The sequence below is a fragment of the Homo sapiens genome, chromosome 8, assembly GCF_000001405.40.
Source record: "Homo sapiens chromosome 8, GRCh38.p14 Primary Assembly".
Taxonomy (NCBI): Eukaryota; Metazoa; Chordata; class Mammalia; order Primates; family Hominidae; genus Homo; species Homo sapiens.
Window position 1 is genome coordinate 15,429,084 of NC_000008.11, and position 18,074 is coordinate 15,447,157.

General features: G+C 39.7%; 1 protein-coding gene and 1 long non-coding RNA gene across 5 annotated transcripts in view; one reads left to right on the top strand and one right to left on the bottom strand.

Moving 5' to 3' along the window:
- Nucleotides 1–15,965, bottom strand: part of LOC124902059 (uncharacterized) — a 59,776-nt gene extending 43,811 nt beyond the window's left edge. Inside the window, exon 1 of the long non-coding RNA XR_007061172.1 lies at nt 15,709–15,965. This is a non-coding gene — a long non-coding RNA (uncharacterized LOC124902059). The remainder of the gene's footprint in view (nt 1–15,708) is intronic.
- TUSC3 (tumor suppressor candidate 3) overlaps nt 1–18,074 on the top strand; it is a 434,904-nt gene that overhangs the window by 11,896 nt on the left and 404,934 nt on the right. The gene's annotated exons all lie outside the window — the stretch shown is intronic.

Consider the following 18,074-nt stretch of genomic DNA (forward strand, 5'->3'; position numbering starts at 1 on the left):
AGGGTTTTTATGGCTTTAGGTCTAACATGTAAGTCTTTAATCCATGTTGAATTAATTTTTGTATAAGGTGTAAGGAAGGGATCCAGTTTCAGCTTTCTACATATGGCTAGCCAGTTTTCCCAGCACCATTTATTAAATAGGGAATCCTTTCCCCATTTCTTCTTTTTGTCAGGTGTGTCAAAGATCAGATAGTTGCAGATATGCAGCATTATTTCTGAGGGCTCTGTTCTGTTCCATTGATCTATATCTCTGTTTTGGTACCAGTACCATGCTGTTTTGGTTACTGTAGCCTTGTAGTATAGTTTGAAGTCAGGTAATGTGATGCCTCCAGCTTTGTTCTTTTGGCTTAGGATTGACTTGGCAATGCGGGCTCTTTTTTGGTTCCATATGAACTTCAAAGTAGTTTTTTCCAATTCTGTGAAGAAAGTCACTGGTAGCTTGATGGGGATGGCATTGAATCTATAAATTACCTTGTGCAGTATGGCCATTTTTTTTTCATGATATTGATTCTTCCTACCCATGAACATGGACTGTTCTTCCATTTGTTTGTATCCTCTTTTATTTCATTGAGCAGTGGTTTGTAGTTCTCCTTGAAGAGGTCCTTCACATCCCTTGTAAGGTGGATTCTTAGGTATTTTATTCTCTTTGAAGGAATTGTGAATGGGAGAAAAGAGAGAAGAATCAAATAGATGCAATAAAAAATGACAAAGGGGATATCACCACCGATCCCACAGAAATACAAACTACCATCAGAGAATACTATAAACACCTCTATGCAAATAAACTAGAAAATCTAGAAGAAATGGATAAATTCCTGGACACATACACCGTCCCAAGACTAAACCAGGAAGAAGTTGAATCTCTGAATAGACCAATAACAGCCTCTGAAATTGAGGCAATAATAGCCCACCAACCAAAAAAAATCCAGGACCAGATGGATTCACAGCCGAATTCTACTGGAGGTACAAGGAGGAGCTGGTACCTTTCCTTCTGAAACTATTCCAATCAATAGAAAAAGAGGGAATCCTCCCTAATTCATTTTATGAGGCCAGCATCATCCTGGTACCAAAGCCTGGCAGAGACACAACAAAAAAAAGAGAATTTTAGACCAATACCCTTGATGAACATTGATGCAAAAATCCTCAATAAAATACTGGCAAACGGAATCCAGCAGCACATCAAAAAGCTTATCCACCATGATCAAGTGGGCTTCATCCCTGAGAGGCAAGGCTGGTTCAACATAAACAAATCAATAAACGTAATCCAGCGTATAAACAGAACCAAAGACAAAAACTACATGATTATCTCAATAGATGCAGAAAAGGCCTTTGACAAAGTTCAACAACCCTTCATGTTAAAAACTCTCAATAAATTAAGTATTGATGGGATGTATCTCAAAATAATAAGAGCTGTCTATGACAGACCCACAGCCAATATCGTACTGAATGGGCAAAAACTGGAAGCATTCCCTTTGCAAACTGGCACAAGACAGGGATGCCCTCTCTCACCACTCCTATTCAACATAGTGTTGGAAGTTCTGGCCAGGGCAATCAGGCAGGAGAAGGAAATAAAGGGCATTCAATTAGGAAAAGAGGCAGTCAAATTGTCCCTGTTTGCAGATGACATGCTTGTATATCTAGAAAACCCCATTGTCTCAGCCCAAAATCTCCTTAAGCTGATAAGCAACTTCAGCAAAATCTCAGGCTACAAAACCAATGTGCAAAAATCACAAGCATTCTTATACACCAATAACAGACAAACAGAGAGCCAATTTTATTCTTTTTGCATCTGATTATCCAGATTTTTGTACACCAGTTACTAAAGAGACTGTCCTTTCCCCATTGTAATTATTGTTGACTGTCCTTTCCCCATTGTAATTATTGTAATCTTTGGTTAAAGGTGAAGTGATACATGTCTAAGAATATTTCTGGGCTCTTTATTTTACTCCACTGGTATATGTATCAGTCTTTGTGCCAGAACCGTATTGTTTTAATTACTGTGGCTTTGTAATATATTTTTGAAATCAGGATGTGTGATGGCTCCAGATTTGTTTATTTCTCAAGATCACTTTGGCTATTCTTGGTCTATTGTGGTTCCCTATGAATTTTGGAATTGTTTTTTCTATTTCTTTTTTTAATCACATTTTTTAAGTCATTAGAATTTGATAGGGATAGCATTGTCTCTATAGATCACTTTGATTAGTATGGATATTTTACCTATATTCTTCCAATCCATGAACACATATATCTATCTATTTGTGTCTTCAATTTATTTGATCATTGTTCTTTAGTTTTCATTGTACAAGTCTCACTTCCGTGTTTAAATTTATTTTTATTTTATTCTTTCGAATGCTCTTTAAATGGCGTTGTTTTCATAATTTCCTTTACAAATTGTTTGTTGTTAGTGTATAGAAACACATCTGATTTTCATATATTGGTTGTGTATCCTGCAGTTTTGCTAAAGTCATGGATTAGATTTAACAGTGCTTGGCAAACTCTTTAGAGGTTTCTATATATAGGATTATGTCTTGTACAAACAGAAATAACTTTGCTTCTTCCTTTCTGATTTGGATTCCATTTTTTCTTGACTAATTTCTCTGGCAAGGACTTCCAGTATGTTGAATAGAACTGGTAAGACTGGGCAACTTTGTCTTCCTCCTAATATTACAGGAAATGATTTCAGTTTTTTACCATTGACTATTATGTTAGCTGTGGGCTTGTCATATATGGACCTTATTATGTTGAGGTACTTGCCTTCTCTACCTATTATGTTCAGCCACTGTTAAGAAAGTCTTGAATTTTGTTCAAATGCCATTTCTGTGTCTATTAGAAATTACATTATCACATTTATTTATGTTGCACTATCTTTGCATTCCAGGCATGAATCTCACTTAATTGTGGCGTGTGATTCTTTTAATGTTCAATGGCATTTGATTTGCTAGTGTTGAGGATTTTTGTATCTGTGTTCATCAGGGATATTGGCTTGTAATTTTCTTACATTGTTCTTGTCTGGCTTTGGTATCAGAGTAAAACTGGTCTCATAAAATGAGTATGGAAGTGTTCCTCCTCCTCAATCATCTGGAAGAGTTGAGAAAGTGTGGCATTCATTCTTCTATAACTGTTTGGTAGAATTCACCAGGAAGCCATCTGGTTTTAGGCTTTTTGTTGTTGTTGTTGAGAGGTTTTTGATTACTGATTCAATCTCCTTACTCCTTATTCATCTGTGTATATTTTCCATGTCTTCATGTTTTTTATCTGTAGCATTTATTTTTTGCTACTTTCTTAAAATGTCCATTTCCTTGCTTACTTACATTTCCCATCTGTTTTCACATTCTGTCTACTTTATCCATTAGAGCACTTATATTATTCATAGTTGTCTTAATTTTAAGTGTCATAATTTCAGCATTCTCTGCCAAGTCTGGTTCTGATGCTTGCTCTCTCTGTTCTCAAACTGTTTTTTGCCTTTCAAAATGTCTTATAATTTTTTCTTGATAATGAGACATGGTGTACTGATAAAAGAAAGTGCTATAAAGAAGCCTTTATTATCATGGTGGTAAGGTCAGGGAGAGGGACTGCTCTGTAGTGCTATGGTTATGTCTCAATCTTTTAATGAGTATGCACCTCCGAACTGTGAACTTAATGTGCATCTCGGATCCCCTCACCCCGCCCCCACACCCCACTTAGGTGAGGCAGGATAGCTAGAGCGGGTTAAAGTTCTGTTTTTTGCTTCCCCCACATGGAAAACTACAGAAGGCTGCTTTTGTGTATTTCCTCTCTCCCAGGTCAGTTAGGGGCTGATAAAACCCCGGTAGGTTAGCCTCTGGCTAAATCGTTCTCCTAAGGGCAGACCTTGTTAAGAAGAACAGAATGCTTTGCTATATTTCAAAATGGTTTCTTTTTCCCTTCCCCTGCCAGGAGTACAAGGGGATTCTTCTGCAATTCCCTTAGAAACTGAAGGGAGTTGATAGGGGAATCCAGTCTCATGACCCAATCTCCAAATAAACAAATTTTACTCTGTCCCTGCATTTGCTAGTCCTTTTTGCATTTATATTGTTTCAGATTTTTATTATAATTTTTTAAAGATGATATTTTGGTACCCAAGTAACTTCTTTCATTCTGGAGAAAAGTTCTTTTCCATTGTGGAAATGTATTCCCCCATATATTTAAAAAAACAACATAGTTCACGTGTAGACTGGAACATGGTCAGATTGAGGCCACACCAATGAAGTCAAATTTGGTGTCAGTGAGTGTCAATATGTCTCTTAATTTTTTAAAAATTTTTCTTCTTAAAATAATGTTTCAGATATAACTTACATAAAATGGAACACAGACCTTTTATTAGTTTGAGTTTTGACAAATGTATGTCATGGATAACCACTCAACCAAACTATAGAAAATTGCCATTATTCCTCAAATTTCCCTTTATTCCTGTTCTCATTCAAAATAGCTCCCCACTCCCCCACCCATATAACAGCCCCTTCACACGTATACACACACATACACACACCACCACCGCCACCACCACATGCCAGGGCTTAAGCGTTCCTCTGATCTTTACTCTGCCACTCTAGATTAATTTGTCACTTGCAGAATTTAACTAAATGGAGCCATACAGCACATACTCACTTTGCCTGCCTTTGTTTGCTTGAGTGTTTTTGATGTTAATTCACGTTGTGTGTTTTAGTTATTTATTCCTTTTTATTGGCTGAGTAGAAATATACGTTATATGGATACATCAACACATACTCTGTATTTGGATTTTTTCCAGTTGGGGGTCATTATTACAGAAATCAAGCTATAAATATTTTATATACACATAAAAACATAAAGCTAGGAATATTTTGTACAGAGCTTTCTGTGGATATGTGTTTTTATTTTTGGACGGTAAACAAATAAAAGTGTAATTACTGTGTCATATACTAAGTATATATTTAACTTCATGAGAAACTAAACAGTTCCTCAAGGTGACCTTTCCGTTTTGTAGTCTCAATAGCAACGTGAGAGAATTCCATTTGCTCCATATCTTTGCTAATCCTTAGTATTATCAAACTTAAACTTTAGCCATTCTAGTGGTGTGTAATGGTACTTCATGGTAGCTGTAATTTTTATTACCCTAATTAATAATAATCATTTTATGTATTTGCCATTTGTACACTGTTTTTTTGTGAAGTGTCTGTTAAAGCCTTTGACTGGTATTAACTGGCTGTTTGTCTTTTCATTATTTGAGCAGTAAAACTTCTTTAAGTAGTTTGGATACAAATTCTTTGTCAGATACATGTGTTCTGAATATTTTCTTGCAACGCAAATTGTACTTCTTCAAAATCTTCCAGATTGTGACTTTTCTTTTTTTTAGTAATGTCTTTCAAAGATGAAATCTTGTTTAATGGGACTAGTTGTTTTATTCACTAACCTGAAATATTCTATGTGCTCAAATTATAAAGCCATTCCTTTTTTTTTTTTTTTTATACTTTAAGTTTTAGGGTACCTGTGCACAACATGGTGGTTTGTTACATATGTATACATGTGCCATGCTGGTGTGCTGCACCCATTAACTCGTCATTTAGCATTAGGTATATCTCCTAATGCTATCCCTCCCCCACGACTTCCCCCACCCCACAACAGGCCCCGGTGTGTGATATTCCCCTTGCTGTGTCCGTGTGTTCTCATTGTTCAGTTCCCACCTGTGAGTGAGAACATGTGGTGTTTGGTTTTTTGTGCTTGCAATAGTTTGCTGAGAATAATGGTTTCCAACTTCATCCATGTCCCTACAAAGGACATGAACTCATCATTTTTTATGGCTGCATAGTATTCCATGGTGTATATGTGCCACATTTTCTTAATCCAGTCTATCATTGTTGAACATTTGGGTTGGTTCCAAGTCTTTGCTGTTGTGAATAGTGCCGCAGTAAACATACGTGTGCATGTGTCTTTATAGCAGCATGATTTATAATCCTTTGGGTATATACCCAGTAATGGGATGGCTGGGTCAAATGGTATTTCTAGTTCTAGATCCCTGAGGAATCGCCACACCGACTTCCACAATGGTTGAACTAGTTTACAGTCCCACCAACATTGTAAAAGTGTTCCTATTTCTCCACATCCTCTCCAGCACCTGTTGTTTCCTGACTTTTTAATGATCGCCATTCTAACTGGTGTGAGATGGTATCTCATTGTGGTTTTGATTTGCATTTCTCTGGTGGCCAGTGATGATGAGCATTTTTTCATGTGTCTTTTGGCTGCATAAATGCAACAAGTGGGCGAAGGATATGAACAGACACTTCTCAAAACTCATTCCTTATATATTAATGGAAAGGGCTTGAAAATTTTTTTGATTTTAATACATAAACTTAAGGAATATAGTGAAGTACTCAAATGTCTACAGAAAATATTTCAATAACATTGATGATGCATGCATATTTCAAATAGCATATTATATAAAACAAAATACTAATATAGAAGTACTGGACTGTTTCCAATTTCCAACATCATGAAACAATTATATTGAAACTCTTTAGAGGTACCTGGTGCCTAAAACATATGCAAGATTTTATTAAAATGTATGTATAAATTGACTCCCTCTTTTTAGCAGGTTGACTTAGAGGAATAAAAATCTCACCTTACATTTGAGCATATAAAGTGAGAAATAAGGATTTTTAAGGAATTTAACTTGGCCTACATTGCTCTTGGAATCTGGATAGGCATAGCGTTGCAATTTCCATATAGAGTTTAATGAACAACTTGAACAATGGTTCTTTTTTTTCTTAATGTATTTTCTATCTTTGTAACAGATTACCTCCAAAGCTTAGTGGCTTAAACAGTATTTTTATTTCACATTGCTTCTGTTGGTTAGGGTTTTGGAGAAGCTTTGTCTGGGGAGTCTTTTCTGAAGCAGAATCTCTGATGCCATCACAGACGTATGTTGACTGGGGCTGCAGTTATCTGAAGCCTTGACTGAGGCTGGAATACCCTTTTTCAAGATCGCTCATTCACATACCTGGTACTTTGAAGTTAGCCATGGACTGGGGTCCTCAGTTCTTCTCATAGGGTTTCCTGACTATCCTCATGGAATGCTGGCTTCCCTCAAAGAGAGTGGTCTGAGAGACAGAACATGGCAGAAGCCACGTTGCCTAAGAATGTAGCCATAGAAGTCATACAGTCACATCTGCTGCCTGGTATTGGTTTTGACGGTTATCAAAAGGAAAGGAAGTAGATCCCTGCCTCGTGGACTTACATCAATGGCAGTTTGTAATGAGAGCATGTGGGATGGAATGTCTATTGGCCAGTTATCTTTTTAAATGTAACCTGCCATAGTTCTAAATTTTAGATTCGACCAACAGTGAGGATCTACCATGTTAGACCTCCGCTTTGCTGTTTTGTTTAGACTAACTTGATCTTCAGCATAACCTTGTGAGCTAGTTTGTACTTTTTCATTTTATGCCGAAGAAATAGAGGTTAAGAACAACTAATGTTTCTGAAGTCTTCATATAAACCGTATGGAGTACAGAGCATGATTTTTTATGTTAATCATGGGTTCAGATTGTGATTGCATTACTTATTGACTATGTATATAAAAGAACAATAAGTAATTACCTGCAAAAAACCCAGAACTTTCACAAAAAAAATACACATTTCATAAGAAAATGACCAATTTCTATAGGTGTTTCATAGTGTGCAAGTGTCACTCACCTCATTCACAGCTGTAAGACTGTCTTACAGATTAAAAATACAGAGGTTAACTCATAAGCCTGTGTATAGGAAGAGGCACAGTCTGAAGTATAACCCAGGTATTTTGACTTTTAGGGCAGTGCATATTTTTTATTGTTTACATCTTGTTGATAATTCAGATCAATCTTTTCCTATTAAGCAAATTAGAATTTATAGCGATTCTCACAATAGTACACAACTGGCTATTTAAAATTGATGCATGAACACAGGAAATGGGAACAATTTTCTCAAAAATTGTTTTCCATTACTTAAAAGTTTAAAGGAAATTAGTCTTTTGAGTCAAATTAAGATATCTCTAAAACTGCAGAGACCTGAAAAGTTCTGTTTCCCCTAAAATATAACTAATCATGCACTAATCATTAGTCCCATAGTAATTGTATTAATTGTATTACATGAACAAAGAATAGGAGATAATTGCAAAGTTTAATGGGCAAAACTTTTCCAGCAATTCACATGTACCATTTATTTCATCAGATAAAAGCAAAAGGGGTTATAAACTTGAGGCTGTTTAGTCTAGACCTACATATCTCTGTTTACTACATTTCTAAGCAGCTTTTATTTTTCCTAATGTTTCTGAAATGTTTCTTAATTTTTTATGGCTTATGTCATCCAGAAAGAGATTCGTGATTTTATTCTGTGGCTGTTATAAGTGCTTAGAGCTTCTACTATTAATATTTGGTTTGAATTTGAAGGATGCAGCAATGAAAAGAATTTTTAACTTTCTCTTGTACTATTTTAGAACTTCAAAAGCATTAAGAAACTGTAGTGCAGATGAGATACATTAAGACAATCATCTCCTATTAAGATCTGAAGCTTTGCCTAAGTTATAAAAAGGTATATGTATAACTAAAAGTAGGACTCGCTTTGAAATAACAGAGGCAACACTTGGCCCTGTATCCTTCCAGCTGCACCCTTTGGAAGCACTGGAAAGTAGAAATATTGTTTGCTCATGGAAACCAGGATCTATACCTCGAGTTTCAGATTTTCTCCTACAGTCATGCCTTAAGGACTCAGAACACCTGCACTGAGATACTCATCTATTAAATTCACCTCTGCTCGTGTATAAAATGAATGCACCCTGTTGAGATAACAGGATAACTCCAACTTGAAAACATTATCCCAAAGTGGTCGTATGAGAAGCAGGCAGAATAAAAGCTTTGGAACTGTACAGACATTTGTTATAAGGTCTTTCTACTTCTTACCAGCAGGTTGTTAAATATTTCTGAATATCAGTTTCCTCACCTGTGAAATGAGGTTGTTGTGTTTTTTTAGCTTTGTTGTCGATGTGTGTTTTGTTGGGTTTTTTGAGACGGAGTTTCACTCGTTACCCAGGCTGGAGTGCAATGGCACAGTCTCGGCTCCCTGCAATCTCCGTCTCCTGGGTTCAACTGAATCTCCTGCCTCAGCCTCCCAAGCAGCTAGGATTACAGGCATGCGCCACCACGCCCAGCTAATTTTTGTACTTTTTAGTAGAGACAGGGTTTCTCCATGTTGGTCAGGCTAGTCTCAAACTCCAGACCTCAGGTGGTCCGCCTGCCTCGGCCCCCCAAAGTGCTGGGATTACAGGCGTGAGCCACCGCGCCCAGCCAGGGGTTGTTGTGTTATAGGAGATGCTGCATATAAAGTATGTGCATGGTGCCTGGTATAGTCCTGGAACCTTAATAATTGGAGGTGTTATTGTTTCTGCTGAGAATTTCAGAAACTTGAGGTAGACTCGTGGGTGAGAGATTTTTGGTGCTCCTGTGAAACACTGAAAGGCCAATCTACTAATACTATTCATGGGACCACCTTTGCTCAGCAAAGATGGTTTCATCTGTAATACACTCAGTAAATTGAATACTTTACATCAGCAAACTGAATGCTGACCTTGTGCCAGGCATAATGTTCTGTAGAATAACAGTCCTTGCTCTTATATAGGACTTCATTTAGTGCAATTCTCAAATTGCACTGAAAAATATATTGGGTAAATTTCTCCTGACAATCCTAGGAGCTAGGCAGAGCAGATATTATCCCCATCTCAAAGATGATGAGTGAATATGCAGAGCCCTGGTGGGAAACACACAGTACATTCAATTTAGGTAATTTGAGGAGAGTTTAATAAGCACCCAATTTAAAATGGTGTGGTCGCAAGGAGAGGAATCTACAAAACACAGTGCAGTAGCCAATTGCTGTTACTCAGGCGTTGGTCGAGGCAATCTATACCCTCTGACCGGAAGGAGCAAGGATTGAACCCAGAGAGAGAGGGCTATTTGACGGCACTGTGACCTTAGTCTGGGAATGCAACTCGTCCATATACATCCATCAGGGATGAAGCCAGGAGAAGAAGGGCTGACCTTCACCCATTTCCCTCTGACCTATCACAATTGCTTTCACAAACCAGACTGAAGTGGTAGCCAGCGACCCAGGAAACCCAGTGATGCAGTCCATAGTAATCAGCCAACTAAATTACAGAGCAAGATGGTGAAGGACAAAAAAATGCCAGGCACAGTGGCTCATGCTTGTAATCCCAGCACTTTAGGAAGCTGAGGTGGGAGGATTGTTTGAGCCCAGGAGTTTGAGACCAGCCTGGGCAACACAGTGAGTCCTTATTTCTACAAACAATAGCTGAGTGTTGTAGGATGTTCCTGTAGTTCCAGCTACTCAGGAGGCTGAGATGGGAGGATCACTTGAGCCTAGGAGGTTGAGGCTGAAGTGAACCGTGGTTACACCACTGCCCTCCAGCCTGGGTGACAGAGCAAGACCCTGTCTCAAAATGAAAACAAAAACAAAAACAGAAAAACATGAAAGGGCAAATGGAAGTCATACACAACACTGTGTTTTAACAAAGTTAGATTCTTTTGTTTATACAAATTTGGGAGTGAGGACTAGATCTCAAGTGCTTTAAATTACAGAGTAGTTCTTTTTTATTTTTTAGACATACTGTGTTATCTCTTTTATCTTAATAAGTATTTCCCTCCAGTGTTTGATCCTTCTATATAGTCTTTATTCATTTCTGCCTTGCACTAGTCTGTCACCATACAAATCTGTCTACTCCAAGTACATTCAGTCTCTTGGTTCATTAGTAACAAAAATCTTCCTTTTGAATCATTGCATCATTTTGCTTCTTACAAGTAATGCAACAGATACTAGTTAAATTATTTCATCCATTCATTTAACAATTATATAGTGAGTGTCCACTCTATACCAGGCACAGGGATAAGTAAAGGCAAACCTGGCCCCTACTCTCATGGCATTTTGAGATAGGCTTTCATCAAATTATCCCACTTACGCATGTGTAACTACAAGCTGAGATAATTGCCCTGAAAGAAGGAACATTTCTATGATTTTGGGCTGGGATTTAAACTGCTTCCCGAGGAAATGAGGCTTCAGCTGAGGGCTGAAAGGTGAACAGAAGTTAACAAACCAAAGAGAGGAGTAGAGCTGAGAACTTTACGGGCAGTGGAAACAACACATGCAAAGTCCCTGTGGCCATTGGGAGTATGACAGATCCAACAAATAAAGCCAATATGGGATGGGCTTGGAGAAAGGGAAGGAGAGGTGGGAGGTGGGCCCAAGTAGAAACCCAGAATGATTAGACAGTGTCTTGAGGATCTATGCAGAATTTTGGTATTTTTCACAAGAGCAATGGGAAACGATTGAAGGATTTAAAGCAGAGAATAACAGAACTAATTTTTATTGTAACAAATCTCACTGATGTTGCCGTGTGAAGGATGAGTTGGGAGGGGCCAGAGGAGAATCAAACAGACTAGTTAGAAGTCTGTTAAAGAAATTGAGGCATAGCATCTTACAGGATGGAATATTAGAATTGACTTAAGCATTCTTTTATTGATTGCATTTTTCCTCTATTTTAAACAATGCTACAAAAAATATATTTCCATGTGCGAGCTGGTTTGTGCATGTCAGTGTGAACTTCTCTAGAATAGACACTATGATATTCTTCAGGAAACTATGTCTTCTTCATTCCAAAGATTGTTCAGGAACTACTGGGAAGAGAGAGACTACTTTTGATAGGGATGTTAATACATACCAGCTTTAGGTTGGAGATGCTAGCAACTGCCTCCCCAGATAGAGAGCTTGCTTGAGGATAACTCTAACAAAGAGGAAACCATTGCCAAGTTATGTTGATGGACCAATTTCTAGTAAGTTTTGCGGGTTCATAGATGTAGAGGTGCTGGAGGCAAGTACTATTTCTGGAATTGCATTGCCTAATAGATTCTCCATTTTTGTTTAAGCTAATTTAAGTTTGGTTTCTTTCATTTGCAACTAAAACTGCCCTAATAATTAAATTAATACTAAATTAAAAATCAAGTAAGTGATGGCCAGGCACAGTGGCTCACGCCTGTAATCCCAGCACTTTGGGAGGCTGAGACAGGTGGATCGCCACAGGTCAGAAGTTCAAAACCAGTCTTGTCAACATGACGAAACCCCGTCTCTACTGAAAATACAAAAATTAGTCGGGCATGGTGGCACGTGGCTGTAATCCCAGCTACTCAGGAGGCTGAGGCAGGAGAATTGCTTGAGCCCAGGAGGTGGAGTTTTCAGTGAGCCGAGATCGCGTCACTGCACTCCAGGCTGGGTGAGACAGCGAGACTCTCTCAAAAAAATTAAGTAAGTAAATGAGATCTGTCATTATATTCCTATAAAAATAATATTTATTAAATTCAAAAAGATTGTTTAGCCCCAAACAATATCAGTGATATTCTTGGAACATAGATACTTGAATGGAAAGAAAATATGCTCATAGACATGGAGAATTGTTAGAATGCATAATAGGCTATGCTGAGAATTAACAAAAGGACAACTGTTCTCTTATCAATATTAGGGACATTTCTCATTCCTTAATAAGCACGTCTACCAACAGAAATTATTCAATTATTCAGTTGTGAAGAAGTGTAAAAAATACTTGAATATTATTACAGAGAACAGGGGGTATGTATTGAAGCAGTGATGAAAGCTGACATGAGGTGTCCTGAGTGTTCCAGACTGGATGACCCAGCAGGTGGGATGATATAGAGCTTTTTGATTATGCTTCTCTAAGCACAATGTCAACCAAACAAGTGATTTTACTAGATACCAGCTATATGAATGGATCTTGTATTCATTTTAATGATCTGAAAGCAAGTCCCCAGGAGAAACTCCTATCCGGTCTCATTCCCCCAAAATAGCTATTTGTTTCCCGATAAGTTGGTTTGTTCTTATCATATAGGGACTCTTAAATCATATAACTGACTGGGCTTCCTTTTTTTAAATGGCTTTCAGAAAACATTTAGTATTAACACTGACTCCAAACTATTAGGATTTGAATGTGTTTAACTCTTTTATGGATTTAGGGATTTTTTTTCTTCATTCTTATTACTTCTTTGTCAAATATAGTATATATACGATTTTTGTCAATTACCTGTTGCAATTTATACTACCTATACTATTCATACCAATCATGTATTTTATTTATAATTTTAAGTTACATTATTTCTCTAAGAAAGTAATCTGAAAAATCTCTAAAAGTGACTTGAGGAAGTATTTTTTTTAAAGGTAAAGGTTTTATTTATTTGATAAATAATAGGAAAGAATAAAGAGTAGAAAAAAGGTAAAGTTATTAGAAGGGCTAATTTTAAATCCCCATGAAAGAAAGTGCTCATTTGTTGCTTTCTAACAAAACTAATAAAGTTTTATTTAAAAAGGTGATCTGATTAGCTGTTCCCAGTGGATTGTTTACTTTCTTACTAAAATACACATAAAAACATGGTACAGGAGGAACATGCACAATATTAAAAAGTAAGACTGATAAATGCCTTACTCCTGATGTTTCTCTTAGTAATTTTCCATCCACAGACACCTCCCCCAACCCCTTTGTTATTAATGACATTCATTCCTTCTAGATTCTGTCATCAGGATAGGAAGACAGAATCATCCTGATGAAAGAATATAGGAGGAATGAATGTCATTGATAACAAAGACTTCCTCCTTGACCAAACTTTAGTCAGGCTCCTCTGAGTCCTCTTCCCTACTAGACCTCAGCCTTGGTCTTCTGTATCCATGGTGCATGGAGCCCAGTTGTAGACAAGAATCTTCCCACCCTTCATATCTGATCAAGTTTCTCTCCCCCGACTCTTATTATCTAACTCCTCAATCTGCCTTTAGTTGGTTAAGCTAGTTATGCAAGAATCCTCTTTAAGCTTGATGTTTCCCTTTTATAATTTTCTGTCCAGTAACCCCTTCACTCCACTGTGGGCTATAAATCCTCAGCTGTTTTTGCTATCTTCAGAGTTCAGCTCAGTTGTATACTGAAGTCTCTCTCCCCTACTGTAGTAGTTTAAATAAAATCTGACATTTTTTTCTTTTTTCTTCCTTCCTTCCTTCCTTCCTTTCTTTTTTTTAGAAGGCATCTCACACTGTCACCCAGGCTGGAGTGCTGGAGTGCAGTGGTGTGATCACAGCTCACTGCAGTCTCGAGCTCCTGGACTGATCCTTCCACCTCAGCCTATGAAATAGCTGGGACTACAGGTATACAACACCACACCCACCTAATTGTGTGTGTGTGTGTGTGTGTGTGTGTGTGTGTGTGTGTGTGTGTAAAGATGGGGTTTCACCATGTTGCCTAGGGTGGTCTTGAACTTCTGGGCTCGAGTGATCTGCCTGCCTCAGCTTCCCAAAGTGCTAGGATTACAAGAGTGGTGAAACCACCTTTGAAAATTATGACTGAGACAGTGAAAGAGATCTAAATTAACCGAATCCATCTTGCTTCTAACCTTTAAGCTGTTCTTATTCCTTCCTGGGTGTAGGCTGAACTAGCTTTGGGAGGAACTTAATTTATAGTTTAAAACAAAGATGATAACAGCCCTTTCCCAAAACAAAGCTGCTTCTTGCCTGGAGACTAGACTGCCTTTGTAGGACTAACAAACTAGCCACAAGATGAGAAATTATGGTTTAGGAGTCACGCAGCTGGGCGCTACAAGATTCTCACCCTCCCTAAGCTGCTCCAGGATTAGTGCTTAAGATACTTTGCAGACCCTGCAGTTGATGGATTAGCTGGCACCACCCAGACGGATAAACTGGCTCACCTGATCTTGTGGCCCCCACCCGGGAACTGACTCAGCCCAAGAGGACAACTTCAATTCTGCCTAACCAATCAGCACTCCTGGCTCACTGGCTTCCCCCACCCCACCAAGCTGTCCTTAAAAACTCTGACCCCTGAATGCTCGGGGAAACTGATTTAAGTAGTAATAAAACCCTGGTCTCCCACAGAACCAGTTCTGTATGAATTACTCCTTCTCTATTGCGATTCCCCTGTCTAGTGTCCAGTGCTAATTTTTGTATTATATTCATAAGCAATTAATTGACACAAACATAAAGTACTCCAGCTGCAGTATATGACACACTGCATCTTTGCTTCATGAAATAGACTACCTGAAAAGTAAGACGAGCCTTCATGCTGTTAAAGACAAGACTCTTCATGACACTTGTTGAAGCAGACTCTATTCAAGGAGACGGTCATGATAGGTGTAGGGACTACTGCAATGAGCTTTTGCAGTAGGGGTTACAGACTGGACTCAACTTCAATACAAGGAAAAGTGGGAATTTATAGCCAAGGAGTGAGTCAGGGGAGATAGCAGTAGATGGAAAATAACTAAGAGGAAATATCAGGCATAAGGTTAAAGCAACCTAACAGGATTCTTGCTGTAGGCAGACCAGGGTAATGAGACATTACCTGGGGATGGTGGAAGATGACGAACCTGATCAGATAGGGAGAGTGGGGAATTATGGCTAAATTGACTTAGCAAGATTCTTGCTTAAAATTAGACAAATGCAGAGATGAACACAGAAGCCCCAAATCAGAGCCCATTTTAGAAGAGTGTACAGCAGAGGCTGACTAGAATTTGGTCAAGGAGAGAATCTTTGTCAGTATCTCCCAAGTATCGGTTCTCTAACTCAGAAATGTAGCATTTCTTATATGTATAGAAAAAAAAATAAAATGTCTTCTTACCCTCTTAAAATGGTGACCAGTGAGGCAAGTGGATACTATTTCTTCTTTCCCTCATCTTTCCATTTGTTGGTTTTCTTCATCCTGGGAGAAATGTCAAAGTCCCGGCAAACTCCTGGAAGGGAGGTAAGAGCAGAGCGCTGGTGCTGTGCACTCTACGAACTTCAGATGCAGGAGAAGGACAAGCTGGGAAACTCATTTTTCCTGTGCTATGTCAGTTTAGGTACCAGAGAACTAGGCAATGGAGGAAAAAAAGCAGATTAATGGAGAAAATTCTTATTAGAAACAAAAAATTTGACAGGAAGCTGTGAACATAGCCCTTCAACTGCAAATACATGGGTAGAAAGCAGGAAAAAGGAAAATTCAATGACCGTGGGTCTGGATGGGATCTCCTTGGATTAGGGATGACTAAGAATGACAGCCAAGTTTAGGCTATTCAATAGTTTGAGAATAAGGAGAAAACTATCATCTCTTCTGGGTCTCCAGGAAAAAGTAAAACTCTAAAACTGATCTATCCCAGGATTTTATTTTTTTTTTTTTTAGTATTTATTGATCATTATTGGGTGTTTCTCAGAGAGGGGGATTTGGCAGGGTCATAGGACAATAGTGGTGGGAAGGTTAGCAGATAAACATGTGAACAAGGATCTCTGGTTTTCCTAGGCAGAGGACCCTGCGGCCTTCCGCAGTGTTTGTGTCCCTGGGTACTTGAGATTAGGGAGTGGTGATGACTCTTAACGAGCATGCTGCCTTCAAGCATCTGTTTAACAAAGCACATCTTGCACCGCCCTTAATCCATTTAACCCTGAGTGGACACAGCACATGTTTCAGAGAGCACTGGGTTGGGGGTAAGGTTATAGATTAACAGCATCCCAAGGCAGAGGAATTTTTCTTAGTACAAAACAAAATGGAGTCTCCTATGTCTACTTCTTTCTACACAGACACAGTAACAATCTGATCTCTGTTTCTTTTTACCACATTTCCCCCTTTTCTATTCGACAAAACCACCATCGTCATCATGGCCTGTTCTCAATGAGCTGTTGGGTACACCTCCCAGATGGTAGACGGGGTGGCGGCCGGGCAGAGGGGCTCCTCACTTCCCAGACGGGGCGGCCGGGCGGAGGCGCCCCCCACCTTCCGGACGGGGCGGCTGGCCGGACGGGGGCTGCCCCCCACCTCGCGGATGGGGCAGCTGCCCGGCGGAGACGCTCCTCACTTCCCAGACGGGCCGGCTGCCGGGCGGAGGGGCTCCTCACTTCTCAGAAGGGGTGGTGGGGCAGAGACGCTCCTCACCTCCCAGACGGGGTGGCGGTTGGGCAGAGACACTCCTCAGATCCCAGACGGGGTCGCGGCCGGGCAGAGGCGCTCCTCACATCCCAGACGGGGCATCGGGGCAGAGGCGCTCCCCACATCTCAGACGTTGGGTGGCCGGGCAGAGAGGCTCCTCACTTCCTAGATGGGATGGCGGCCGGGAAGAGGCGCTCCTCACTTCCCAGACTGGGCAGCCAGGCAGAGATGCTCCTTACTTCCCAGACGGGGTGGCGGCCGGGCAGAGGCTGCAATCTCGGCACTTTGGGAGGCCAAGGCAGGTGGCTGGGAGGTGGAGGTTGTAGCGAGTCGAGATCACGCCACTGCACTCCAGCCTGGGCAACATTGAGCACTGAGTGAGCGAGACTCCGTCTGCAATCCCGGCACCTCAGGAGGCCCAGGCGGGCAGATCACTCATGGTCAGGAGCTGGAGACCAGCCCGGCCAACACGGCGAAACCCCGTCTCCACCAAAAAATACAAAAACGAGTCAGGCGTGGCGGCGGGCGCCTGCAATCCCAGGCGCTCGGCAGGCTGAGGCAGGAGAATCAGGCAGGGAGGTTGCAGTGAGCCGAGATGGTGGCAGTCTAGTCCAGCCTCGGCTCGGCATCAGAGGGAGACCGTGGAAAGTGGGAGACAGGAGAGGGGGAGGGAGGGGGGAGGGGGAGGGAGAGCTATTTTTTTTTAACTCTTTAAGAATAATTTACAGATTAAATAAAGACATGGCCTCTTTAAAGGAGAGGCAGAAGTTCATGTGGAGAGAAAAAAAATGGAGATGAAAGTGAACAAAAAGGATGAGTAGGTAACAGAAAAAAAAACAAAGGAGGTAAAATTAATACAGACTTAAAAATGCAATATTAAAATGGAAATTCACACACCCAATGAAGAATGGAAAAGCTTTTGAAGAATAATCAAATGTTGACATGGAGAGTAACTTCAATACTGTTTCCCAAATGCAGAAGAAAAAAAAAATAGGATAAGATAATGAGAAAAGATGACAAGATGACAATATAGGATGTTCATATGCATAATAAGTATACCTAAATTTAGCTAAAGACAAATTATA